Source organism: Homo sapiens, chromosome 2 (genome assembly GCF_000001405.40).
Source record: "Homo sapiens chromosome 2, GRCh38.p14 Primary Assembly".
In the NCBI taxonomy this organism is placed as follows: Eukaryota; Metazoa; Chordata; class Mammalia; order Primates; family Hominidae; genus Homo; species Homo sapiens.
This window is the reverse complement of record NC_000002.12, coordinates 26,781,784-26,809,238: the sequence shown is the minus strand read 5'-3', so window position 1 is coordinate 26,809,238 and position 27,455 is coordinate 26,781,784. Positions and strand designations below refer to the sequence as shown.

Below are 27,455 nucleotides of genomic sequence, written 5' to 3'. Positions count from 1 at the left end.
ATATGGCAAAACCCCATCTCTATTAATAAAAAAGTTTTAAAAAATTATCCAGGCATGGTGGTGTGTGCCTGTAGTCCCAGCTACTGAGGAGGCTGAGGTGGGAGGATCCCTTAAGGTGGGAGGATTGCTCAAGGCTGCAGTGAGCCATGATTGTGCCACAGCACTCCAGCCTGGGAGACAGAGTGAGATCCCAACTGAAAATAAAGAAGAGGGGCTTAAAAAATGTAAATTTTGAGTCTTAAAAAGGTTTAAGTAGGCCGGCGTGATGGTTCACACCTCTAATCACAGCACTTTGGGAGGCAAAGGCAGGAGGATCACTTGAGCCCAAGAGCTGGAGACCAGCCTGGGCAACATAGTGAGATGCTGTCTCTTATAAAAAATAATTAATTTTAAAAACGAGCTGGGCACGGTGGCTCATGCCTGTAATCCCAGCACTTTGGGAGGCTGAGGCAAGAGGATCACTTGAGGCCAGGATTTTGAGACCAGCCTGGCCAGCATGGTGAAGCCCCATCTCTACTGAAAAAGAAAAAAAAAAAAGAAAAAAAATTAGCCAGGCGTGGTGGCGTGCACCTGTAATCCCATCTGTTTAGGAGGCTGAGGCAGGAGAACTGCTTGAACCCCGGAGGCAGAGGTTGTAGTGAGCCAAGATGGTGCCACTGCACTCCAGCCTAGGTGACAGAGTGAGACTCTGTCTCAAAAAAAATAAACAAACAAATAAATAATTTAAAAATGAATAAAGGAAACGCTCAAGGGCCTACAATCTGTCACCTCCTTCCATACACATCGAACAAACATTTTCCAATCCACAACAGAAAGATGCAGGTGGGAGCCATGGGTCCCTTCCTGTAGAATATTCATGTCCACCAGAGATTTCAGGCCTCCCTGGAACAATAGTGCTATCTAAGTAAGCCCTGCCCTTTGAGTTTAACCCTGGAAATAAAAGTGCAGGTAGGTTTGGCAGTTAGACTGACATCAGACTTAGAACCAGGCTTCCTGCTTTTCTAGACTGTGTCTGGTACCCGGAAGAGCCCTACCCCTGGGGCATTCCCTGTGCAGCCAGAAATGGGAAGGGGGGTACTTTCCCCTTACCTTCTGCAGGATGGAGAAATGGGGTCTCCAAATGCACCACCTTAGCTTCAACAAAGACTTTGACCCAGAATATTCTCTGTTCTCTCCTGGCATCTTCTGCTGCTGCCCCTGGCTGGCCTCATTGCCATGGAAACAGAAGGGGAGGATTGTTTTGGACTGGCTCAGCAATTCCCATGTGCTTGCCTCCTGGAAGGCAGCACAGAAGGCAAGGGGATGTTACCTCAGAAGGATTTGCTAGATCCTTGATTTTCAACTTTGAATCACTATGATGTATCTATTCTACTTTATGTAGAAAGAAGTATAAAAATCTTGGAAAATTCCTGCTGCTTCCATGGCTCTTTGATGTTTATCAAAAAGCATGCTCTCCTGGCTGTCAGGTTGGCTGCACAGCTTCCTGTTCTGCCCTTTTTTTTATTCCTTTTCATTTAGTATTAATAGTGCACTTACATTTTTATGGATGAACATAGTCACATACTTGTGATCTTTTCAAGTTTTATTATGAAAATATTAAATGCCAGCCTGGGCAACATAGTGAGACTCTGTCTCCAAAATTTTGTTTTGTTTTGTTTTGTTTTTGTTTCAGACAGGGTCTCACTTGGTCACCCAGGCTGGAGTACAGTGGCACGATCTCAGCCCACGGCAGGGTCGACCTCCTGGGCTCAAACAATTGTCCCACCTCAGCCCCCCAAGTAGCTGGGACTACAGAAATGCACTACCACACCCAACTAAGTTTTTGTAGAGACAGGGTCTCACCATGTTGCACAGGCTGGTCTAGAACACCTGAACTCAAGCGATCCACTCATCTTGGCCTCTCAAAGTGCTGGGATTACAGACATAAGCTACTGTGCCTGGCCCACAATTTTTTTTTTTTTTTTTTGGTGATTAGACAGGCACGGTGGTGCACACCTGCAAAGATCATGCTATTGCCCTCCAGCCTGGGCAACAGAGTGAAATCCTCTCTTAAAAAAATTTTTTTTATAAGTTTATTTTTCTTATTTTTTTTTTTTACTTTCTTCTTAACTGCTTCTTCAGCATTAAAAAAAAAAATTTTTTTTTTTTTTAAAGAAAATAGGCTGCGTGCAGTGACTCACACCTGCAATCCCAGCACTTTGGGAGGCCAAGGCAGAAGGATCGCTTGAATTCAAGAGTTCAAGGCCAGCCTGAGCAAAATCGGGACACCCTGTCTCTATCTATTTTAAGTTAAAAAAAGAAAATATTAACTAAGTCATACTGTTTATGTAACAGGTAAAAATGTATATAAATGTTCAATAAATTGTAAAGAAGAAAGAAGTTCCCTTGTGATCACACTTCCTACCCAATGATGGTTTGCATTTTGCAGAGTTCTTCGTCCATGGACACACAGGTATTGGTGGTGTTGCCATGATTATAACAATCCCTTTTGCTGGCTGCCTTGTATCCTGTGCCATCAAGGACCATGTGTTTTGAGGCAATTGATCTGTCCTGCTCCTTCCCAGTGCCAAGCTTGGCATGCACCAAGCATGCAGTGCTTGACAGAGGAAGGTGAAGATGCTATTCAGTTCAAGGCTCCAGGAAGGTGATTTGGGAGGTGGGGCAAGTCTTGAATGGAGAGACAGAGAGGGCAACCCTTGTGCCAGGAGGAAAGGAGAGGCTGTGGGGACCTGGGTGTGGCCCTCCGAGCCCCTGTGGTTGATCTCCACTGCCTGTCCCATAGCCTCTGGTCCCCTTCTGCCTTCTCTTTGGGCGCTCTCAGCCTGGATCCTTCTTACAGTGAACCCTAGGAAACCACTCTAGGCACCCATCCTAGGGTGGCACCCACTGGTGCCAGATGTGCCTGTCCCTGGGGGAAGACAGGTGGACAGGGACTGTGGGTTGCAGCCACCCAGAGCTCTCACCAGCTGGAGGAGCAGCACTGCCTCTGGGGCGGTTCAGGTGGAACACCCAGATCTCTTTTCCCAAACAACAAATGCCAGGAAATCATAAACTACCAAACATTGTGAGTGGCCGTCATCCAATTCTGAAAGTAAAACTTCCTACTTTAGTAGCAGAAACCAAAATTGGGTGTGAGAGGATCACCATTAGGTGCCAACACCATTTCAAGTGGAAGCCCCACCTTCTCCAGCTTCCGGTAAAAGTATACATGCATCTCTTTTTAGTTCTCAAGCACTTACCTTAAGGTATATTACCTTAATTCCCAAATTGACTCTGCAAAGTGGGGCAGTATTCCTTATTTTGAAGATTGATATGATTTGGCTGTGTCCCCACCCAAATCTCATCTTGAATTGTAGTTCCCATAATCCCCACCACGTGTCATGGGAGGGACCCAGTGGGAGGTAATTGAATCATGGGAACCGTTACCCCCATGCTGCTGTTCTCATGATAATCAGTGAGTTCTCATGAGATCTGGTGGTTTTATAAGGGGCTTTTCCTCCTTTTGCTCAGCACTTATCCTTGCTACTGCCATGTGAAGGACGTGTTTGCTTCCCCTTCTGCCATGATTGTAAGTTTCCTGAGGCCTCCCTAGCCATGATGAGCTGTGAGTCAGTCACAGTCAGCTGTGAGTCTTTCCTTTATAAATCACCCAGTCTCAGGTATGTCTTTATTAGCAGTGTGAGAATGGACTAATACAAAGATGAATATCCAGACTTAGGAATAAGACTTTGACTATAAATCCTACATTCCTTTCCACGTATTTTTCCCACACTACCTACTTTAAGAAGGGCAGTGATGAGTCAAACTGTGTCATGGGGTGAGAGGCCCTGAACCACATAATAACGAGAACAGTTGAAGAAAGTGGGGCCTGTAAGCCCAGTGACTCAGGAGTCTGAGGCTGGAGGATTGCCTGAGGCCAGGAGTTTGAGACCAGTCTGGGCAACGTAGCAAAACCCGAAGAAGAAATTAGCCGGGCATTGTGGCATGTGCCTGTAGTACTAGCTACTCAGGAGGTTGAGGCTGCATGATCAAATTCCTTGAGCCCAGGGGTTCCAGGCTGCAGTGAGCCATGATTGCACCACTGCATTCCGGCCTGGGCAACAGAGTGAGCCCCCAACTCCAATATGGAAGTAGGAATGATTCACCTGTGGAAGGTGTGAAAGTTGCCAGAATCAAAATGGAGTCACTGTGTTAAAAAACAAACAGGCTGGGCTTGGTGGCTCATGCCTGTAATCCCAGCACTTTGGGAGGCCAAGGCGGGTGGATCACCTGAGGTCAGGAGTTCGAGACCAGCCTGGCCAACATGGTGAAACCCCATCTCTACTAAAAATACAAAAATTAGCTGGGCGTGGTGGCAGGTGCCTGTAGTCCCAGCTACTGTGGAGGCTGAGGCAGGAGAATGGTGTGAACCCTGGAGGTGGAGCTTGCAGTGAGCTGAGATTGTGCCACTGTACTCTAGCCTGGGCAGAGTGAGACTCCATCTCAAAAAACAAAACAAAATAAACACGAATAAACAAACAAAGCCAGAAGGCCATGAAGAGAGGGTTCTTATGCATAAATGCCTGATAACAAAAACTATCATAAAAGATGCTACAAAAACCAAAACCTTACTTGGGCCACTGTAACCTTAACACACACAAAAATTCTTCAAGGACATCTGCTCAGCAACTGCCTGTTCAACCTCAGACTGCTGCCACCCTTGTTATTGATCCTTGTAGCCAAGGATAGTTATCTCAAAACAATATGTAATCCTCATTTTTCCTTTAAAAACTTTTGTCTTTCTTCCCTTCCTGAATATGCAGTTTACTGTGGCACGTGTATTCCCATTGCAATGCTCTATTGCTGAATAAATATTTTACTTTAGAGACAGCCTCTCTCTGTTTTTTTAGATTGACACAGGGAAGACAGTGGGGACCTGATGACTCTCTTCAGTTACATGGAAGATAAATTAAATTCTCTGGTGGCTGGGTGCAGTGGCTCACGCCTGTAATCCCTGCACTTTAGTAGGCCAAGGCAGGTGGATTGTTTGAGCCCAAGAGTTCAAGACCAGCCTGGGCAACATGGTGAAACCCTGTCTCTACAAAAAATAGAAAAATGAGCTGGGTGCAGTGGCGTGCACCTATGGTCCCAGCTACTCGGGGGCTGAGGCAGGAGGACTGTTTGAGCTGGGAGGTCAGCGTTGCAGTGAGCCAAGATTGTGCCACTGCACTCCATCCTGGGTAACAGAGTGAGATCCTGTCTCAAAAATAAATAAATAAGATAAATTATTCTCTGGTGTACCAAAGGCATAATTAATGAGGTTAAGACAAGGGAAAGCAAAGTTGAGATATATATGTGAGTGTGTATCTTAAATATATATACCTAATATATATATATCTCCCTATGTATAATATATATGTATATATCTCCCTATATATATAAAATAAATACTTAAAACTTTCTGAAACGTAATTACTTGAGTGACTGGTGAGGTTTTTTTTTTTTTTTTATCACTGAAGGTATTCAAATAAAGGTTGACTGTTACAGAAGACATTCAAGTAAAATGACTTTTTATTTATTTATTTTTTTTGAGACAGGGTCTTGCTCTGTCGGCCAGGCTGGAGTGCAGTGGCACGATCTCGGCTCACTGCAACCCCTGCCTCCCGGGCTCAAGCAATTCTCCTGCCTCAGCCTCCTGAGTAGCTGGGATTACAGGCATGTGCCACCACGCCCGGCTAATTTTTGTATTTTTTTTTTTTTTTTAGTAGAGACAGGGTTTCACCATGTTGGCCAGGCCGGTCTCAAACTCCTGACCTCAGGTAATCTGCCTGCCTTGGCCTCCCAAAGTGCTAGGATTAAAGGCGTGAGCCACCGCACCTGGCAGTAAAATGACTTTTAAGATATGTTCTGAGGCTGGGCGTGGTGGCTCATGCTTGTAATCCCAGCACTTTGGGAAGCTGAGGCAGGCGCACCACGTGAGGTCAGGAGTTTGAGACCAGCCTGACCAACATGGAGAAATCCCATCTCTACTAAAAATACAAAATTAGCCAGGCGTGGTGGCACATGCCTGTAATCCCAGCTACTCGGGAGGCTGAGGCAGGAGAATCACTTGAACCTGGGAGGCGGAGGTTCTGGTGAGCAGAGATCACGCCATTGCACTCCAGCCTGGGCAACAAGAGCAAAACTCCATCTCAAAAAAAAAAAAAAAAAAAAGACATGTTTTGACCCTGAAATTCTATGATGAGTTCAAGCTGAACATCAAGTATGGCCAACAGGGATTGCTGAAGGATGACAGGAAGGGTGCGGTGGCTCGCGCCTGTAATCCCAGCACTTTGGGAGGCCGAGGTGGGTGGATCACCTCAGGTCAGGAGTTCGAGACCAGCCTGGCCAACATGGTGAAACCCCATCTCTACTAAAAATACAAAAATTAGCCGGGCATGGTGGCATGTGCCTGTAGTCCCAGCTACTAGGGAGGCTGAGGCAGGAGAATCACTTGAACCTGGGAGGCAGAAGTTGCAGTGAGCCGAGATCACACCACTGCATTCTAGCCTGCAACAGAGCAAGACTCCGTCTCAAAAAACAAAACAAATAAACAAAGCCAGAAGACCATGAAGAGAGGGTTCTTATGCATAAATGCCTGATAACAAAAACTATCATAAAAGACTCTACAAAAACCAAAACCTTACTTGGGCCATTGTAACCTTAACACACAAAATAATGGTCCGTAGTCCGGGCACGGTGGTTCACACCTGTAATCCCAGCACTTTGGGAGACTGAGGCTGTCGGATCACTTGAGGTCAGGGGTTCAAGACCAGCCTGGCCAACATGGTGAAACCCAGTCTCTACTAAAAATACAAAAATTAGCTGGGCATGGTGGCGGGCACCTGTAGTCCCAGCTACTCGGGAGGCTGAGGCAGGAGAATTGCTTGAACCTGGGAGGTGGAGGTTGCAGTGAGTGAGATTGCGCCACTGAACTCCAGCCTGGGCGACAGGGCAAGACTTCATCTCAAAAAAAAAAAAAAAAAAAGGTCCATGAAGCACTTTCAGACCCAGTACCTTAGACCTAGTGTCATCCCGGAAGTTGCCATAGCCCTTTCCTTTCCCCACTTGGAGCTTATCACTGCCTCTTAGCCCACTGCTGGACGAGACTCAGCTGTCCTCCTCCACTCCTCTCTCCAGAAAACTCCACTGCCATGAGCATGGAGGGAAACAGCCTTGTCCCCCAGGACCACAGCCCTGTAGAGTTCCTGTGAATGTGCACAACTCAAGCAGGCTCTCCCCACGGCCTACGCCAGAACACAGGGCAGGAGACACCAAGGGCTCCAGCCCAGCCGAGGATTTCAGGGCTCTCAGGAACGGATGAGCAATGCCTTTTTAAAAAGTGATCAGTAAAGTGAAGCAGCCGAAGATGTGCTGAGTCCCAGTGGTGTCTGAAGGGTGCTGGTTGGGGCTTGGGAGAGGATGAGTATTTTTGGGGAGAAACAAGGATGATTTGGGGCCCCCTGGATTTGGTGGGCCAGGCCAAATAGAAGTGAGTCAGGCAGGCTGCTGGTAAATACAGCAGACAAATAGGCTTCTCTAAACAGCATGTAAGGCCGTGGATTTGGAGGTTTGTAATAAGAGGTTGCAGAAAAGCAGGGAACTTAAATCGATCCTAGAAACAATTAGGAATCTACTTCTACCCTTCTGCTGTCGCATGGTGTAGCAATATTGGCCCAGTGCCAGGGAGGGGAGAAATTCTCAATTCAAATGCTTCGGCTGCTCCTTCAAGATGAATTTGGTTTTTCAATCCACTCAATGTCTTGGGAGCTCTAAATCTGTCTTGTATAAGTGATGTGTTGTCTGCAGTTGAGAGCATCAAATCAGTGCTGAAAGAGCATTATACACTGAAAACCTGTATCAGTGTAAGGCATTATTATTACTCTGTTACTCAAGCGGAGGGATGTCCTGCAGGATGGAAAATTGAGGCAATTGAGGCAAATATTCAAAAAATATGTGTCAAATGACTTTGTTACACATTTCTTAAAAATCTGCAAAAATATGCAATATACTTACTGAGAATATTAATGTGAGGTTGGAGGCAGAATAACTCATAGAATTTTAGAAGGGGCGTTCATAACCATCTATGGAGGGTGGACTTGAGGATCTCATGGAAATCATGGCTCCTCTCAGAAAAGTGCACAAAACACAGATTTATGAAGTTACACAGAATTTTTATTTCTTTATTTAAAAAAAAATAGAGACAGGGTCCGAGAGGCTGAGGCAGGAGAATCGCTTGAACTTGGGAGTTGGAGGTTGCAGTGAGCCGAGATCGTGCTGCTGCACTCCAGCCTGGGTGAGAGAGTGAGACTCTGTCTCAAAACAACAACAACAACAACAACAACAAACAGAGACAGGGGCTTACTGCTGCCCAGGCTGGTCTTGTCACAAAATCCTGGCCTCAAGCAATCCTCCTGCCTCAGCCTTCCAAAGTGCTAGGATTACAGGTGCTCAGTCGGAATTTTTAAATATATATATTTAAATATATACACAAATATATATATATATTTGTGCATTGGAAATTAATTTCCTTCACACATTCAGAACATTTATAAAAACTTTACAAAGAACTGCCTCTCAGGCTGGGTGCAATGGCTCACACCTGAAATCCCAGCACTGTGGGAGGCTGAGGAGAGTGGATCACTTGAGCCCAGGAGTTTGAGACCAGTCTGAGCAACATGGAGAAAACCCATCTCCACTAAAATAAATACAAAAATGGCTAGGCACAGTGGCTCACGCCTGTAATCCCAGCACTTTGGGAGGTCGAGGCGGGCAGATCATGAGGTCAGGAGATCAAGACCATTCTGGCCAACATGGTGAAATCCCGTCTCTACTAAAAATACAAAAATTAGCTGGGTGTGGTGGCGTGTGCCTGTAATCCCAGCTATTTGGGAGGCTAAGGCATGAGAATTGCTTGAACCTAAGAGGCGGAGGTTGCAGTGAGCCAAGATCGCGCCACTGCACTCCAGCCTGGTGACAGAGTGAGACTCTGTCTAAAAAAAAAAAAAAAAAAAAAAATTAGCCAGGTGTGGTGGTGTGCTCCTATATTCCCAGCTACTCGGGAAGCTGAGGTGGGAAGATCACCTGAGCCTGGGGAGGTCGAGGATGCAGTGAACTGTGATCACACCAATGCCCTCTAGCGTGGGTGACAGAGTAAGATCCTGTCTCAAACAAACAAACCCCCCAAAAAAATGCATCTCCAAGTCTCTTTTTTTTTTGTTTTTGAGGCAAAAGTCAGTAGCCAATATTTGTAACCCCCAAACTTGAAACTATCCAAATGTTCAATAGAATGGAAATATACAAATTTAGGCATAGGCCGCTCTGCCTACAGAGTAGCTATGCTTTATTCTTTCACTTTCTTAATAAACTTGCTTTCACTAAAAAAAAAAAAAAAAAATTTAGGCATATCCACACAATGAAACCCTATGCAGCAGTAAGAATTAACACCATAAACACATGAGAAAATATAAATTTCACAAACATGTTGACTGAAAAACACAAAAGAATATATGCTCTATAATTCCACTTACTACAATAATCAAAATGAATCTATGGTATTAAAAGTCAGGATAGGCCGGGCGTGGTGGCTCACGCCTGTAATCCCAGCTCTTTGGGAGGCCGAACCAGGTAGATTACCTGAGGTCAGGAGTTTGAGACCAGCCTGGCCAACATGGTGAAACCCCGTCTCTACTAAAAATACAAAAATTAGCCAGACGTGGTGGTGGGTGCCTGTAATCTCGGCTACTCAGGAGGCTGAGGCAGGAGAATCACTTGAACCCGGGAGGCAGAGGTTGCAGTGAGCCGAGATTGCGCCACTGCACCCCAGCCTGGGCCACACACCCCACCCAGCCTGGGCGACAAGAGCAAAGCTCCGTCTATATAAAAAAACAACAGGATAACAATTATCCTTGGCAGAGTAAGTATTGACTAGAACGGGGCAGGATTCTGAGATGCATTGATTTCAGTTTGTGAAAACTAATTGAGCTGTAAAATTGTAATCTGTATACATTTGTGTTTTTGGTATGTATGTTATACTTTAATTAGAAAATCTTTTAAAAAGAATGGAGCTTTTCAGTTCCTGTAAACAGCATTAAAATAAATCCAAAGAATATAAAATAGAATAAAACTCTAATGCTGCTCAAAGTATATTACTAGGTTGGTGCAAAAGTAATTGCGGTTGTTGCCATTGAAAGTAATGGCAAAAAAAAAAAAAAAAAGTAGGTGCCATCTGGCTTTTAAAAATTTGTAATTGTGACACAGTGCGTCATATGGTATGTAGGGAGAACTCTAACCATGTTTTTCCTCACTCTCACAGCACAACAATCATCCATGCAGAAGATTTCTGTGACCAAACGTTGGAGGTGATTTCCCCATACACCAAGCAGTGGACACCAGCTGGGTGTCCTCTAATTCATTTCTGACACTGTCTACCCAGAGATGGCATCAGATCCCACACGTTGAGGGTTCAGTCCCCAAGACTGCCCACCCACCAAAACCGGTCACAAGTCTGGGCCTCTAGGACTGGCTTCAAGTTGGGGTTCCCATGACCCCCTCTTTGATTAATTTGGTGGAGTGGCTCACAGAGCTCAGGGAAACACATTTACCAGTTTGTTACAAAAAATATTACAAAGGATACAGATGGCTGGGCGCGGTGGCTCACACCTGTAATCCCAGCACTTTGGGAGGCTGAGGCGGATTACCTGAGGTCAGGAGTTCAAGACCAGCCTGGCCAACATGGCGAAACCCCGCCTCTACTAAAAATACAAAAATTAGCCGGGTGTAGTGGCCCACGCCTATAATCCCAGCTACTTGGGAGGCTGAGGCAGGAGAATTGCTTGAACCTGGGAGGCGGAGGTTGCAGTGAGCCAAGATCGCGCCACTGCACTCCAGCCTGGGTGACAGAGTGAGACTCTGTCTAAAAAAAAAAAAAATGAAAAATAAAAAATAAAAAAAATGCATGAAAAACATAAAAAAAGGAAACAGATGAAGAGACACGTGGGGTGAGGTATGGGGAATGCACACAGAGCTTCTAAGCCCTCCGTGGGGGGTGGGGGGTGTGGGGGGCGCCACCCTCCAGGAACCTCCCCGAGTTCAGGTATCGGGAACCTCCCTGAACCGTCCTCAAGGGTTTTTATGGAAGCTTCAGGACCTCCGCATTCTTTCCCCCAGGGTATAGAGGGAACCTCTCTGGGTAGGATCTTAAGACCCACAATCTGAAAGCCTGAGAAAGATTAGAGGCCTGTCTTGGGGCAGGTGAAAGGAGGGCAGGAGAAGGAGAGATTCTGTTTCCTGAGGCCTAACACATACCCAATATTACAACAAAAGAACTAACAACGGCTATAGCAGTTATGAGCCCGGAACTGTGGACGAAAACCAATGTCTATCATAACACCACATGTGGTATAGTAGACATCTGTTATTTTTGTCTGCCCTGTCTACATTCTCTCTTACCTGTTAAGAAGCCTCAAATTTCCTTGGGAAACCACTTGTATTAGTTTCCTATTGCTGCTGTAACAAATTAGCAACAACTCAGTGGCTTAGATAAAACACAAATTTATTCTTACAGTTCTGTAGTTTAGAAGTCTGACACAAGTTTCGCTGGGCTAAAAATCAAGGTATCGGCAGGCCTGTTTTCTTCTCTGGAGTTTCTAAAAGAAAATCCGCTTCCTTGCCTCTTCGCTGCTAGAAGCCACCTAGACTCGTCAGTCTGTGATCTCTCCCTCCATCTTCAATGCCAGCAATGTTGCATCTGCCTGACCATTCTCCTACTCCTATCTCTAACACACTTCTCTCTCACTCTTCCATTTTTAATGGCACTTGTGATTACATTGGGCCCACCCAAAATTCCAAGGTACTCTCCCCATTTTTTGCTTTGTCCTTTTTTTCTTCTAAATCTCCCTATTTTAATGTCAGCTGATTAGCACTCTTAATTCCCCTTTGCCATGTGACATGCCAAATTTACAGGTTCTGAAGGCCTGCCTGAAAGTGACACTAACAGAAGCAGCAAAGGGTGAAGAGAGAGACCAAATCTCATGACTTTGTTACAGCCCTTCGATTTGACTGTAGCGAAACCAGAAATGTCTCTGGGCTTTTCAGTTATATGAACCTTCTCCTCTTAAGTCAGTTTGAGTTGGGGTCCCCAAACTTGCAAATGAGAGTCTTGATTGTTATATATGACAGCATGTGTTATGTTTGATGTTGAATACATTTAAGTTATTTTTGTTTTATTTTAATGGCAATAAGTAATGATGAGTATGGGAATATCAAGAGACACATCAAACTTCAACTTCCAGTAATGGTAGAAAAGGTCATTGGGACCACTCTCCTATCAAAGAAAACTGAAAAAGTTGGAGATCGCACCACTGCACTCCAGCCTCGGTGACAGAGCGAGACTCTGACTCAGAAAAAAAAAAAAAAAAATCCATACTGAAGACACATCAAAATGACATTGCAGAGCCAGCCGGGCATGATACAATGGTCAGAGTTGGGGATCCTGACTTTGCTCAGCGGCAGTGGTACAGTTCAATGCAATGGTGGCAGGGCTATGCTTCCAGCAGAGCAGCAGTGGGGGTGGGCACTGGGAGCTTCCTGATCTTTGGGCAGCATCCTCTTCTCTTTGGCTCAACCAGCCTTCCTGACATTACTATAGTCAACCCCTTCCACCAAATCCCTTTTTGCTTAAAATATCTGGAGTTATTTCTGTTTTTTTTTTTTAAGTGAATGCTGACTGATTGGAATACTATAAAAAAGAAACATTACCAAAATAAGGAGTTAATTGGATATTAAAAACATGAAATCAGAAATAAAAAATTCAATTGAAAGGTTAGAAAAGAATGTTGATGAAATCACCCTGAAAGTAGGGAAAAACAAAATAAAAAAATAAAACAGGGGCGTGGTGGCGAGCATCTATAGTTCAAGATACTTGGGAGGGCGAGGTGGGAGGATTGCTTGAGCCCAGGAGTTTGAGGCTGCAACGAGCTATGATTGCTCCACTGCATTCCAGCCTGGGTGACAGAGCGAGACCCCCCTTTCTCTCAAAAATAAATATGGCCAGGCCTGGTGGCTCACACCTGTAATCCCAGCACTCTGGGAGACTGAGTCAAGCAGATTGCTTGAGTTCAGGAGTTCGAAACCAGCTTAGGCAACACGGCAAAGCCTTGCCCCTACAAAAAATAAAATTAAATTAAAAATTAAAAAAATAATAATAAAAAAATACATAAAACAAAAACCCAGCCAGGCACAGTGGCTCACGCCTGTAATCCCAACACTTTGGGAGGCTGAGGCCCACAGATCACTTGAGGTCAGGAGTTCAAGACCAGCCTGGCCAACATGGTGAAACCCTGTCTCTACAAAAATACAAAAATTAGCCAGGCATGATGGTGGATGCCTGTAATCCCAGCTACTAGGGAGGCTGAGACAGGAGAATCATTTGAACCCAGGAGGCGGAGCTTGCAGTGAGCTGAGATGGCACTACTGCACTCCAGCCTGGGCGACAGACAGAGTCTCGGGAAAAAAAAAATTATTAAACAATAGAACTTGGTGCATCTCTTTAATCTGTCTCTGAACTCAGTTGACTGACACATCATTATTAGTAGTCTGCCCTCACTAATCATTTTCATCACATACAGATCTCATATCTTTGGGTGACACTTCCCATGTCTCTGGAAATCTTTTAAATTGCTTTCAGTTACAACAGAAGGGCAAGGTTTTCATCTAGTCATACTCTACTCCACCAGAGGCAAAACCACCTCCCTTAATTATCTTGTTTAAATTGTGGCTGTTCGCCCCGTCCGGGAGGTGAGGGGTGCCTCTGCCCGGCCGCCCCTACTGGGAAGTGAGGAGCCCCTCTGCCCGGCCAGCCGCCCCCTCCGGGAGGGAGGAGGAGGGGTCAGCCCCCCGCCCGGCCAGCCGCCCCGTCCGGGAGGTGAGGGGCGCCCCTGCCCGGCCACCCCTTCTGGGAAGTGAGGAGCCCCTCTGCCCAGCCACCACCCCATCTGGGAGGTGTACCCAACAGCTCACTGAGAACGGGCCATGATGACAATGGCGGTTTTGTGGAATAGAAAGGGGGGAAAGGTGGGGGAAAGATTGAGAAATCGGATGGTTGCCGTGTCTGTGTAGAAAGAAGTAGACATGGGAAACTTTTCATTTTGTTCTGTACTAAGAAAAATTCTTCTGCCTTGGGATCCTGTTGATCTGTGACCTTACCCCCAACCCTGTGCTCTCTGAAACATGTGCTGTGTCCACTCAGGGTTAAATGGATTAAGGGCGGTGCAAGATGTGCTTTGTTAAACAGATGCTTGAAGGCAGCATGCTCATTAAGAGTCATCACCACTCCCTAATCTCAAGTACCCAGGGACACAAACACTGCGGAAGGCCGCAGGGTCCTCTGCCTCGGAAAACCAGAGACCTTTGTTCACTTGTTTATCTGCTGACCTTCCCTCCACTATTGTCCTATGACCCTGCCAAATCCCCCTCTGCGAGAAACACCCAAGAATGATCAATAAAAAAAAAGACTCCATCTCAAAAAAAAAAAAAAGAAAAAAAAATTGTGGCTGTTTGCAAACAAATAAAGAACTTATTTTTAACACACAAAAAGTACAGTATAATCTCTATGCTGTAACAGTAAGTCCATTTTCATTAAATATTTTGATTTTTATTATCTCTCTACAAAGAAACTACAAAAATACCCATAAAAGCATCGAAAATGTACTTTAAAATTCTGAACTGTTATGATACATCTTCTATGATTTACAAGAGTAAAATGTTAAATTCTCCAAGTTAGAATTTCTGAATTGATTTTGACAGGAATTTACTAGAAGTAACCAGAACATCAAAGCTTACAGGTTTTCTATTCATCCCCAATTAAGTTTCTGAAAAGCTACACATCCGTTGACAAGCACAGTCCACTCAGTTACATGATGCTGCCACTAATGGTGAGGCTACTCTGAAGGGCAGAGGTCTATATGATGGAAATGCCCAGCCTTCCAGGCAACTGCTCAAAGTGGTCTTATTTTTTCCCTTATGTGTAAAATAAAAGTACAAATGTACATATGGTAAAAAATGTAAATATTACAGAAAGAGCTAAAATAATAAGTACATAGCCTTTTCTCCCATACCACAGCAAATCTGATGTTTTCAAAATCCTCAAATAGTCACATGAGTAACTCACAAACTAAAGTCAACCTTGGAGTCTCTTTATCTGAAAATTATTTTCAGGCCTTTGGAACGGTGTTGATTGTCTCATATATTACCTCTGTTACAGAGGAAAGTCATGCAGTCTTCTCCTTCTCAAAAAAAAGAAAAATATTTAAAGCAACACACACATACTGTTCAGAGACAGCAAAGTCCAGACAGCATCGCAGAATCCATTGGATCTAGTCATGGCTCTGGAGAGTCCCCGGTATCATCCCTGAAATTAAGGAAGCACACTTACTAACAAGCCATTTTCAAAAGTAAGAAAACTTTCTCTTAATCAAAAAAGAGAAAGTTTTTATTAGAAAGTGTTCTCTTTTATTAGAAAGTTTATTAGAAAGTTTTCTCTTAATCAAAATGAGGTCATCTGATTCTTGTAATCTCAACACTTTGGGAGGCCAAGGCAGGAGTTGCAGTGAGCCACGATGGCAACACTGATGACAGAGACCCTGTCTTATAAAAATAAAACAACAACAATAACAACCAAAAGAAATTAGGGTCATCTGGTTATTATTTAATAGAAAGATATCTTTTATCTAACATTGCACAAAAGGGCACAAACCACATTGTCCCAGGCAGTCAAAACTAGATCAACCTTTACTAGAGAACAAAGGGAAGGCGAGGTGACAAGGGACTATGGATGGAGAAAGGAAATTACTTGAGAAATTCCAGCCCCAGTCCTGTGAAAGAGGATGAGCTTACCCCCTGGCTGAGCAGGAAAGACTGACAGAAACACTGGGTGCAGGAGCTCAGCCGAGTCCCTCCTCAAGGCCCCGGATCCTCCGGGCCAGTTGCACATCCTTTGGGAAGAGAGTAACTCGGCCTGCATGTAAGGTGAGGAGATAGGCGTCCTCAAAGAGATGAACTAGAAATGCTTCTGCTGCCTGGAGACAGAAAGAGAAAAAGACGGACACAGATGAAGGGCCACGGGCTGCTTTTTTTTGGAAACCTGCTAAACTTAATCTCTGAGGGCTCAAAGGATTGTAGGAAACTATTCACAGAATGAGACTGAACTTTGCCAGGGAATTCTGCTATCACCACGCAGAATCCAGCCTCCAAACCCTCAGAGGTTACCTCATTGTTCTTTTCCAGAGGTCAGATTCAGCATGTGACACTCCAGTCAGCACTGGAGAATTCTAGGCTGCCTCTTTCTCCCACTCAGCCCTCACCCAATTGTGCCTTGGTGCCTTCTTACCTCTTGTAGGGCCAATAGGGCCTGGGCTTGCCAATTGAAGTCCACACCACGAGTGAATTTAACACATATTTCTCTTGCCTGTGAAGGAGTGGGGAAGGGGAGGAGTAGGAGTAGGGAGTAACAGAAGAGAGATTCAAGGGACAATGATGCTCTCCATGAGTTCCAGTGAATCTTCCTTTCCATTATTTTTTCCTGGCTCTTAATCTTAGGACCCAATTAGGAGCAGGTGTTGACTCCTGGGAGCTTAGGAACTGGCGGATCTCTTACTGGTGATGGGGAAATCACCAGTAATTGGGTGATGAGAGGCAATCTCCCAGGATAGGAAAAGGGATCTAAGGTGGACAAACGAGAGAGTTCCTATTTATACAGTCAAAAACTACAGTTTTAAAAAGGTAGTAGAGGTTAGAAATCAATTCCATAAAGAATTACAAGGTGCTCTTGGAGGGCTCATGTTTTCAGAAAAGAATCCCCTACCAGGTTACAAAAGAGGTCCCTTGGCCAGTTAGTTAAGAGACAGTAGGGTCCCTAATACCTGGGAAAATTTAAAAAAAGGAGGGTGGCATAGGGGTTGGTGGGAAGCTCCCGGAGCTTACCAGGCGGCTGAAGGGCAGCTTCCTTATCAAGAGGTGTGTGCTCTTCTGAAGCTTTCGGATCTCCTTTAGCCAACCTTGTCTCCGCCGACTGTGTTGATGGGAGGAAGCGCCTGAGCAAAAGAAAGGTAAGTTCAGTGGAAAATAGGTGGTGCCTCGCAGCTTGGCTGAGTCAGGTAAGCTGTCAAATTGCTAGACTATATCTATGTGCCTACCCTCCACAGAGCAGGGATTTTTGTCTGTTTTATTAGGTTGCTGCAAAAGTCATTGCAGTTATGGCAAAAACCACAATACTTTTGCACCAACCTGATATATAGTAATTTTGCTGCTATCTTCAGCAATTAGAAAATAGCAGATAGGTGCTAAATAAACATTTGTTAAATGAATGAGTGAATGATCCTCTGCAGTTGATTTTAAATGCTAACTCTTCCATGAAGTCTTTCCCGAATCCTGATCCTTCCAAACAGATGGGTGACCGCCCTCCTCTGGGCTTTGCAGGACTTTGTACAAGTCTTAGATCTTTCCCACCTAGATTGGAAGCTCAGTTATTTTGGTTTTAGATTTTTTGTTGGTTTGTTTTTTACAGCTGGAAAGAATCTGAGAGACTAGTACAATTCCCTTGTCTTGATCATCCTGAGGCCCAGCGAGGTGAAGATGGTTGGCCAGCCCTCATTAGTGGCCAAGCTGAGACCTGTGTAAGGTGTGGCCTAACTCAGTGTCAGTGTCAGGCACCTGGGCTGTGGAGACAGAGCCTTTGGCTCAAATCCTGGTTCCAACAAGAACAAAAAAGAAAATAATTTTAAAAACATTCCCAAAAGTAGGAATCAAAAAAGCCAAATTCTCTAATTGGAAATTAAAAACTCATGAATCAAAAACCAGTTTCTTCTAACTAACCTGTGTTGAAGAGGAAACTTAATTGAAATTAGACTATTTGGAAATGAATAACAATAAAAAGCCCATATCCCAAAACTTATGAGATACAGCCAAAATAGTACTAGAGGAAAATGCATAGCCTTAAAGTGTTCCTATTAGAAAACAAGAACACTAAAAGGTATCTGAGCCAAGCAGTCAAATTAAGTATTACAGAGTTATTAAAGTAAACCAAAACAAGATAGAACAAAAGAAATATTAGAAAATAAGTTAGTGAAAATAAAGTTAAAGAAAAAACAGCACAGTTGCTCCATAATTACAACCAAGGATCAAGATGAGTGAACATCTGATAAGTTGAACAAACAAAATACAAAAATAACATGTTGACGGATAAAATTGTTTCAGAAATGTTATTCAGGATCCAGCCAAGCAAAGAGACTCTACACCAAGTTCGATAGAAGGCATTTAATACAATAAACTAATCACGAAGTGTTAGAAGAGCTGCAAGAGCAAGTAGGGTAGGTGAGACAATCCAGAGATGGCCTGTGCCAGGCAGCCAGCAGAGGAGACCATCCCTGGGTGAGGCTAGAGAACACAGGCCAATGAAACAGGGCAGTGTCCAGAAGACTGATAACATTTAAAACTGGGAAGACCCATGCCCAGGAGAAAAACTACTGACACCTCCCTCCCTCCCCACCACCAGTTGGCAATCCAGTCACTGGAGGCAGTCTTTAATAAACAGACATAGGGCTGGGTGCGGTGGCTCACGCCTGTAATCCCAGCACTTTGGGAGGCCAAGGTGGGTCAATCACCTGAGGTCAGGAGTTCGAGACCAGCCTGATGAACATGGAGAAACCCATCTCTACTAAAAATACAAAAATTAGCCGGGCATGGTGGCAGGCACCTGTAATCCCAGCTACTTGGGAGGCTGAGGCAGGAGAATTGCTTGAACCCAGGAGATGGAGGTTGCAGTGAGCCAAGCTCGCACCACTGTACTCTAGCCTGGGCAACAAGAATGAGACTGTGTCTCAAACAAAAATATATAAATAAATAAAATAAAATAAAAAAATAAACAAGACATAGCATTCACAGAAAATTTGAAGATGAACACAACTAAAGATCACCCAACAATTTAAGAAGGCCAATACCATGAAAGAAAGGAACCAAACTCAACAAACAAAATAGCCAATACCAGAGGAAATTGAGTTAATAGAGAAAAGAAATAGAAACTTTGAGAGAAAAATGGTTAATGAACTCAGAGAGGTAACAGAGATATGAAATCCATGACCCAAGAACAAGTGGTTATGAAAAGTAACCAATTAGAGAGATCATGGAAAAGAACTGGGATCAAAAATTTAGTAGCTGGGTCTTGAAATGCCAACATGAGGAGATGGAATTTAATCCTACTGTAATAAGAAGCCAGGGAAGAGTTTTATGCAGGATAGAGATGTGGAAGGTCATTCCAGCTGCTGTGTAAGGAAAGAAGTAGAAAGGGACAGAGTGGAAGTGGAGTGGCAGCTGATTAGGAGGCTCTCACAGTTGCTCGAGAGCTGCTGGTAGCTTGGACTAGGCTAGTGGGAGCAGAGATGGTGAAAATGGAGTGATTAAGGATGCAGTTTGGAAGTAGAATTATCTGGACCTGCATTTGTATTGGAGACGGGGGTCTCCCAGGCTTGTGGTTTGAACAACTGGGTGGGTAGTTGTGCCATTTACTGAAATGGGGAAGCTGAGGATGAAGGGGCTGGAGGGGAGTAACCAGAAGTTCAGTTTTGGGTGTGTTAAGTTTAACATAACCAAGAGCCTTCAGGTAGAAAGGCAGTTAGATATAGGTATCTGGGGTCAGAGGAGAGATCCAGGTATACAGATATTTGAGAGCTGTCAATGTATGAGTGGGATTTAGAGCCACGGAGGAGATGAGACCACCTAGGGAGGGGGTAGAAAGGAAAAGGATGTCAAGGAAGTCCAACATCAAGGAGCCGAGGGAGGCAGCACAGGCAGTAGAGAACACCAAGCAGAACTGCCAGAGTGCACAGTGGCATGGAAGCCAAGGGAACAGAACGCTTCAAGGAGAAAGAGGCCCACTGCGTCAAATGCTTCTGAGACACAGTAAGAACACAGACCCACCTACTGGATTTGGCACTACAAAAGGTGCTAGTGACCCTGACAGGAGTAGTTCAAGCAGATTAGAAGTGGGGGTAGTGGTTGTGGGGAGTCAGATTGGAGTGGGTTGTAGGGTCACTAGGAAGGGAGGAATCAGATGCAATGTATGTGGACCTAACAAGTCTGGCTATTTTAAAAGGACAGCTATGAAGGGAAGTAGAGGGAAATGGGAGGTATAGGGAAGTGAGAATGTGGGGTCAAGGAAACACTCCTGCCCTTTCTCTTAAGATCGTAAATACGGCCAGGCGCAGCGGCTCAGGCCTGTAATCCCAGCACTCTGGGAGGCCAAGGTGGGCGGATCACTTGAGGTTGGCAGTTGGAGACCAGCCTGACCAACATGGTGAAACCCCGTCTCTACTAAAAACACAAAATTAGCCGGATGCGGTGGTGCATGCCTGTAATCCTAGCTACTCGGGAGGCTGAGGCAGGAGAATCGCTTGAACCCGGGAGGTAGAGGTTGCGGTAAGCCGAGATCACGCCGTTGCTCTCCAGCCTGGGCAACAAGAGGGAAACTCCGTCTCAAAAACAAAAACAAAAACAAAACAAAACAAAACATCATAAATACTAGAGCATATGTGCCGATGCCAGTGTGAAGTGTCTGGATTTATCTAAGCACAGGTAGAAAGCTCCTCTGTAGGTGAAAGAAGGATATGACCAAGACCCCATGTAGAAGGAAGGGCTTTGATAGGAAGGGGGACACCTAGTCAAGGCCATTATTGGCTAAGAGTGAGTGGGGGGAATGGAGCTGTAGGAAGTCGAGGAGGGAGAAAAAGGTATGAAATAGTCATGGGGAGAATGGAAAAGCAAGAATTCCAGACAAAGGCCAGGCACGATGGCTGTTTTTTTTTTGTTCTGTAGAGACAAAACAATTTGTCTCTACAAAAAAGGTTTAAAAATAGTCAAGCATGGTGGTGCAGGTCTGTCATCCTAGCTATTCAGGAGGGTGAAGCAGGAGGACTGCATGAGCCCAGGAGGTCAAGGCTGCAATGAACCAAGATAGCACCACTGCACTACAGCCTGGATGACAAGAGTGAGACTCTGTCTCGAAAATTGAAGAAAGAATACCAGACAAAGGTGGTAGGACTGCCAAGAAGTGTTGACTGCCCATTTGAGATAAACCTTCCATTTAACCAGGAGTAGAAGGATGCTTCTACCTTGGAAAGCAACAGCAAACATCATACTTAATATTCCTGTTAAAATTACAAACAAGACAAAGATGACCAAAACACCACTCTTAGTGAGTCTCAGGGCCTTACTAGTACCATACAATAATAAATAAAATGTGTAGAAATGAAAACGGAAGATTCAAAAGTTATTTGCAGATGACATAATAGTCTACTTAAAAATTCCAACTGGAGCAACTAAAAACGACTAGGGTGAACGAGAATTCAGCAAGTTGGCTGGAAGCAAAGGTTAAATCCTCGTGTTTTGGGAAAGAAAAAAAATCCCATTCGCAACAGCAACATCTAGAAACAACCTACTCCAGCCTAGGCAACATGGCAAAATCCCACCTCTACTAAAAATACAAAAAATTAGCCGGCATGGTGGCATATGCCTGTAGTCCCAGCTACTCGGGAGGCTGAGCTGGGAGAAGCACCTGAGCCTGGGAAGTTGAGGCTGCAGTGAACCCTCGTGGCATCACTGCACTCCAACCTGGGCGATGGGTCTCAAAAAAAAAACAACAAAAAACCAAAAAGCCGGCCGGGCGCGGTGGCTCACGCCTGTAATCCCAGCACTTTGGGAGACCGAGGTGGGCGGATCACGAGGTCAGGAGATCAAGACCATCCTGGCTAACACGGTGAAACCCTGTCTCTACCAAAAATACAAAAAATTAGCCGGGCGTGGTGGTAGGCGCCTGTAGTCCCAGCTACTCGGGAGGCTGAGGCAGGAGAAGGGCGTGAACCCAGGAGGCGGAGCTTGCCGTGAGCGGAGATCGCGCCACTGCACTCCAGCCTGGGCGACAAAGCCTGACTCCGTCTCCAAAACAAAACAAAAAACCCAAAAAAGCCTGTAGGCACAGTGGCTCATGCCTGCAATCCCAGCACTTTGGGAGGCCCAGGCAGGAGGATCACTTGAGGCCAGGAGTTTGAGACCAGCCTGGGTAACACAGGGAGACCCAGTCTCTACAAAAAGCAATGAAACAAATAAACTACAATACACTTCCCATCTTCCTCATAGCTACGTAGCAAGAGTTAAGAGATAAGTAAAGCAGCTGTTGCCACCATGTACCATACAGGCATCTGCCTCCTCCTGCCGTTGGGTCTCCCATCCACCAGCCCACCATAGACAATTAAGACACAGACTTCGGCCCCTTTTCCCGGACACAAGCTCTGGAAGGCAACAGAGTGAGCAGCGCAGAGGGCCTCGGTTCAAGGCCTAACAGCCTCTCCCGGAAGGGAAAAAAAACCCCTGAAAGACACCTCCTAAGAGGACTCCTGTTTGAAATCGTCACCGAAAGCAGTCAATACTTTTGCAATTTAAAAATGCACAAACACAGAGGATTGGAAATCCCGTGTCCGCCAGAACACCAAGTTGTGTGACTCTGCTCAAGCTCTCTGGCCTGTGCCTCGGCTTTCTCATTAGCTGTAAAATGGGCACAATATGAAGCTGAGATAACGCACGAACAGTGGGAGGCAATGCCTGGTTGGCGGTGGGCGGTGGGCGCTGGGTAACCACTAGTCCTAACAAGAAGACGGCGTTAGGAGCCAAGTGGCTAAGCCGGTCCCTTCCCGCTTTCGGAACCGCCTGCTCCAGCCCCTCGCAGGGCTGGCACCGCCCGTGCCCGGAGCGGATGCCGGACGGCGGAACCGCGTTGTCCCCCAACAGGGAAGTGCCACGGGATCGGGACTCGGGAGATCCGGGCTCCGCCTGCGAGCCTCGGTTTTCTCCTCTTCGAGATGGGGCCGCGGCCGGTTACCTAAGGAGGGGCCCCGCCGGGAGGGGCCGGGGGTCGGGGTCGGGCTCGGGCTGCGCCTCCTCGGGGCCTCGGGCTTTCGGCTCCGGCGGCGCGGGCCCATGACACGCCGCAGAGGGTGCTGGCGCCCGGTCCCACGGCTCCTGCTCGGGCTGCCGGGTCCGGGAGCGAAAGGCTGGCTTCTGGGGAGCCCAGAGAACGCTGTGCCGCGAGCCTCACATGAGCCGGTGCTTGGCAGAAGTCCGCGCCGCTCGCGTTCAAATCGCTCGCTCCGCCCACTTCACGGCCGGCGTTTTTTAAAACCCGAATCCAGCGACTCCCAGTGGCTGACTCTGGAACGCCCCTTACGTAGAGCGACTGCAGGTAGGGCCAATGAGAGTATGCACCGAGACACAAATATAGCGGCGATGATAGGAGGACAGGGGAGACTGATGGTAAAATCAACCAATAGACAACTAAAGAGATGGGGCGGGAAATTCTCCTGCCCCCTGCTTGCCAATCTGGTTGCTGGTCTTTGCGGGACCGTACTGACGTCCTCAGGTGCCCTCCAGTCAAAACACCGAAGCTCAGTTTGGAACGTGGATGGTGTGTTTGTAGAACGTGCTTTCTAGAAAAGTCGCTTTCCTCAAACATTTTATGCTTTGCCTTAGCAACGCAGAGATGGCTTTTAAAGATGAGGAAACAGACCCATAGAGAATGTGACAACCCCGTGTCGTATCTGCGACTCTCCCAGGAACTATCCACAGATATACTCAGAATCCAGTTCAACTGCATAAACTTTGCTGACGCTTGGGGTCGCGGGGACGGCGGGATCGGCGGGGCTTTGAGAATAAGGTCCGGGCAGGGCAGGCCTCGGCACTATAGCAACGCAATCGTCCCAAAAAAATGCTCTCTTCCCTTTGTTGGGGATAATAAAAATTCAAGTCATGTCCCGGTATGTAGAATAAGGGGAATTTTAATTTTCTAAATTTTATTTCTTGCATTTTCTAAATGTTCTACAGTGAACATGTAATCAGGAAAAATGTTATAAAATTAGTGATTTCATGGAACCCTTGTGCATTGCTGGTGGGAGTGTAAAATGCTGCGGCTGCTGTGAAAAATAGTATTGGTGGTTCCTCAAAAAATCAAAAATAGAATTACCAGATGATCCAGTAATTCCACTTCTGGCTAAATATCCAAAAGAATTTAAATATAGCCAGGGACTTGAACAGATATTCTCACACCCATGTTGATAGCGGCATTCTTCACAACAGCCCGAAGGCAGAAACAGCCTGAATACACACCAACAGATGAACGGATAAACAAAATGGGGTGTATACCACAATGTTATTCAGCCTTTAAAAGGAAGGGAATTCTGACACCTGCTGCAACATAGATGAACCTTGAGGACGTTATGCTAAGTGAAATAAAGCAGTCCACCAAGGGACAAATGCTGGGCTGGGGTGCGGTGGTTCATGCCTGTAATCCCAGCGCTTTGGGAGGCCAAGTTGTTCGGAACCACTGAGTTCGAGTTCGAGTCCAACCTGGCCAACATGGCGAAACTCCATCTTGCCGAGCGTGGTGGCTCACGCCTGTAAACCCAGCACTCTGGGAGGCCGAGGCAGGCAGATCACCCGAGGTCAGGAGTTCAAGACCAGCATGGCCAACATGGCGATACCCCGTCTCTACTAAAAATATAAAAATTTGCCAGGTGCTGTGGCTCACGCCTGTAATCCCAGCTACTCAGGAGGCTGAGGCAGAGTTGCTTGAACCTGAAAGGCGGAGGTTGCAGTGAGCCGAAATCATGCCACGGCACTCCAGCCTAGGCGACAAGAGTGAGACTCTGTCTCAAAAAAAAAAAAAAAAAAAAAAGAGAAGGGGAAGGAGAAGGAGGAGAAGGAAGAAAGAAACCCCACCTCTACCAAAGATACACACACACACAAATTAGCCCGGGCGTGCAGATGTATGCCTGTCGCCCCAGCTACTCAGGAGGCTGAGGTGGGAGAATCGCTCGAGTCCAGGAGGTTGAGGCTGAACTGAGCCATGATTGTGGCACTGCACTCCAGCCTGGGCGACAGAGTGGCACCTCTCTCAAAAAAAAAGAAAAAAAAAAAGGACAAGGCCGGGTGTGGTGGCTCATGCCTGTATAATCCCAGCACTTTGGGAGGCTGAGGCCAGTGGATCATGAGGTCAGGAGATCGAGACCATCCCGGCTAACCTGGTGAAAACCCGCTTCTACTAAAAATACAAAAAATTAGCCGGGCGTGGTGGCACGGGCCTGTAGTCCCAGCTACTCGGGAGGCTGAGGCAGGAGAATTGCTTGAACCTAGGAGGGGAAGGTTGCAGTGAGCTGAGATTGTGCCACTGCACTCCAGCCTGGGCAATAGAGCAAGACTCTGTCTCCAAAAAAAAAAAAAAAAAAGGACAAATACTGTATGAGGTACCTGGAATAACGGAACTCATAGAGACAGAAAGTAAAATGGTGGTTGCCAGTGAGTAAGGGAGGAATGGGGAGTTAGTATTTAATAGGTGGGGAGTTTTAGTTTGAGAAGATGAAAAATTCTGGATATGGATGGTGGTGATGGTTGCACAACACTGTGAACGTGCTTAACGCCACTGAACTGTACACTTAAAACTGGTTAAAATGGTAAATTCTATGTTGTGTGTGTGTGTGTATATATATATATATATATATTAACCCCGCCCCACAACCGGGTCTTGCACTATTGTCTAGGCTGGAGTATAGTGGTGCAATCACAGCTAACTGCAGCCTTGAACTGCTGGACTCATGCAATCCTCCCACTTCAGCCTCCTGAGTAGCTGGGACTAACAGGAATGTACCATCACACTTGGCTAATTTTTTTTTTTTTTTTTTTTGAGATGGAGTCTTACTTTGTCACCAGGCTGGAGTGCAGTGGTGCGACCACCACTCACTGCAACCTCTGCCTCCCGGGTTCAAGCGATTCCCCTGCCTCAGCCTTCCAAGTAGCTAGGACTACAGGCGTGTGCCACCACGCCCAAAGTGCTGAGATTACAGGCGTGAGCCACCGCACCCTGCCACTTGGCTGATTTTTTAAAAAACATTTTGTGGTGCCATGGTAACTCTGGCTTATCATATAGCCCTTATTATATAGTCATGTATATATAATAAAGGCATTATACAGTTCCCATGCTTAACAATGGGGATATGCTCTGCGAAATGTGTTGTTAGACGATTTTGTCATTGTGCAATCATAAAGTGTACTTACACAAACCTGGATGGTATAGTGTATCACACACCTTGGCTATATGGTATAGCCTATTGCTCCTAGGCGACAAACCTGTGCAGCATGTTCCTGTACTGAATACTGTAGGCAACTGTAATGCAATGGTATTTGTGTATCTAACATATGTAACCTAGAAAAGGCACAGTAAAAAAACAGTATAAAAAATGGGCTGGGTACACTGGCTCACCCCTGTAATCCTAAAATTTTGGAAGGCCAAGGCAGGAGCATTGTTTGAGCCCAGTAGTTCGAGATCAGTCTGGGCAACGTGGTGAGACCCCATCTCCGCAGGAAATAAAAACAATTAGCTGGGCACGGTGGTGCATGCCTGTAGTGCCAGCTACTCGGGAGGCTGAGGCAGGAGGATCACTTGAGCCCAGGAGTTTAAGGCTACAGTGAGATAGGATCATGCCACTGCACCCCAGTGACAGCAACAGATCAAGACTCTGTCTCTAAAAAGAAAAATTTTCCTTCTTCAATAATAAATTAATCTTAGCTTAATGGTAACGTTTTAACTTTATAAGCTTTTGAACTGTAAAATTTGACTCTTGTAATAACACTTAGCTTAAAACACACACTGCAAGTATACAAAAACATTTTTTCTTTATATCTTTTTTTTTTTTTTTTTTTTTTTGAGACGGAGTCTCACTCTGTCGCCCAGGCTAGAGTGCAGTGGCCCGATCTCGGCTCACTGCAAGCTCCGCCTCCCAGGTTCACACCATTCTCCTGCCTCAGCCTCCCAAGTAGCTGGGACTACAGGCCCCCGCCACCATGCCCGGCTAATTTTTTGTACTTTTAGTAGAGACGGGGTTTCACCGTGTTAGCCAGGATGGTCTCGATCTCCTGACCTCGTGATCCACCCACCTCAGCCTCCCAAAGTGCTGGGATTACAGGCGTGAGCCACCGCACCCGGTTTATATCTTTATTTTTAAGCTTTTTTTTCTTTTTTGAGACTGAGTCTCACTGTTGCCCAGGCTGGAGTGCAGTGGCGTGATCTTGGCTCACTGCAAACTCTGCCTCCCGGGTTCAAGTGATTCTCCTGCCTCAGCCTCCTGAGTAGCTGAGATTACAGGCTTGTGCCACCATGCCCAGCTAATTTTTGTATGTTTACTAGAGACAGGGTTTTGCCATGCTGGCCAGGCTGGTCTCGAACTTCTGACCTCAGGTGAACCACCCACCTCGGCCTCCCAAAGTGCTGGGATTACAGGCGTGAGCCACCATGCCTGGCCTCTGGCTGCAGTATCTGTGGCAGAATGGGACAGGCGAGGATTGAG

The 27,455-nt window shown here is 45.9% G+C and overlaps 1 protein-coding gene across 2 annotated transcripts, besides 6 other annotated features; it reads right to left on the bottom strand.

Moving 5' to 3' along the window:
- Positions 14,332-14,532: a silencer, noted in NCBI's record as "peak3629 fragment used in MPRA reporter construct". NCBI's record gives its function as "represses an SCP1 promoter by STARR-seq MPRAs in K562 erythroleukemia cells {active_cell/tissue: K562}" and the evidence as "EXISTENCE:reporter gene assay evidence [ECO:0000049][PMID:32103011]".
- CENPA (centromere protein A) lies at positions 14,650-23,183 on the bottom strand. Of its 2 annotated transcripts, NM_001809.4 has the most exons (5): positions 22,943-23,183; positions 16,999-17,108; positions 16,406-16,483; positions 15,913-16,094; positions 14,650-15,427 (listed from the first exon to the last, which is right to left on the bottom strand). In NM_001809.4, exons 1-4 carry the CDS (start codon positions 23,040-23,042, stop codon positions 15,960-15,962), a joined length of 423 nt encoding a protein of 140 aa, NP_001800.1. In that variant the 5' UTR covers positions 23,043-23,183; the 3' UTR covers positions 14,650-15,427; positions 15,913-15,959. The 2 variants fall into 2 exon arrangements, with proteins under 2 accessions (NP_001800.1, NP_001035891.1); NM_001042426.2 differs by lacking the exon at positions 16,406-16,483.
- Positions 22,402-22,451: an enhancer, noted in NCBI's record as "active region_15479". NCBI's record gives its function as "activates an Ori minimal core promoter by ATAC-STARR-seq in GM12878 lymphoblastoid cells {active_cell/tissue: GM12878}" and the evidence as "EXISTENCE:reporter gene assay evidence [ECO:0000049][PMID:35858748]".
- Positions 22,512-22,561: an enhancer, noted in NCBI's record as "active region_15478". NCBI's record gives its function as "activates an Ori minimal core promoter by ATAC-STARR-seq in GM12878 lymphoblastoid cells {active_cell/tissue: GM12878}" and the evidence as "EXISTENCE:reporter gene assay evidence [ECO:0000049][PMID:35858748]".
- Positions 22,892-23,001: a silencer, noted in NCBI's record as "silent region_11277". NCBI's record gives its function as "represses an Ori minimal core promoter by ATAC-STARR-seq in GM12878 lymphoblastoid cells {active_cell/tissue: GM12878}" and the evidence as "EXISTENCE:reporter gene assay evidence [ECO:0000049][PMID:35858748]".
- Positions 23,652-23,751: an enhancer, noted in NCBI's record as "active region_15477". NCBI's record gives its function as "activates an Ori minimal core promoter by ATAC-STARR-seq in GM12878 lymphoblastoid cells {active_cell/tissue: GM12878}" and the evidence as "EXISTENCE:reporter gene assay evidence [ECO:0000049][PMID:35858748]".
- Positions 24,013-24,782: an enhancer, noted in NCBI's record as "H3K4me1 hESC enhancer chr2:27007325-27008094 (GRCh37/hg19 assembly coordinates)". NCBI's record gives its function as "activates a minimal SCP1, AML or CMV promoter by ChIP-STARR-seq in naive H9 embryonic stem cells {active_cell/tissue: H9 hESC(naive)}" and the evidence as "EXISTENCE:reporter gene assay evidence [ECO:0000049][PMID:30033119]".

What these genes read in the sequence shown, in the direction of transcription:
- CENPA (NM_001809.4), bottom strand. Translation starts at nt 23,042, where the DNA reads ATGGGCCCGCGCCGCCGGAGCCGAAAGCCCGAGGCCCCGAGGAGGCGC. An exon ending in CCGGCGGGGCCCCTCCTTAG is followed by an intron (nt 17,109 to 22,942) that starts GTAACCGGCCGC and finishes TCTTTTGCTCAG; the next exon opens with GCGCTTCCTCCCATCAACAC. An exon ending in AGCTGCCCTTCAGCCGCCTG is followed by an intron (nt 16,484 to 16,998) that starts GTAAGCTCCGGG and finishes ACTCCTTCACAG; the next exon opens with GCAAGAGAAATATGTGTTAA.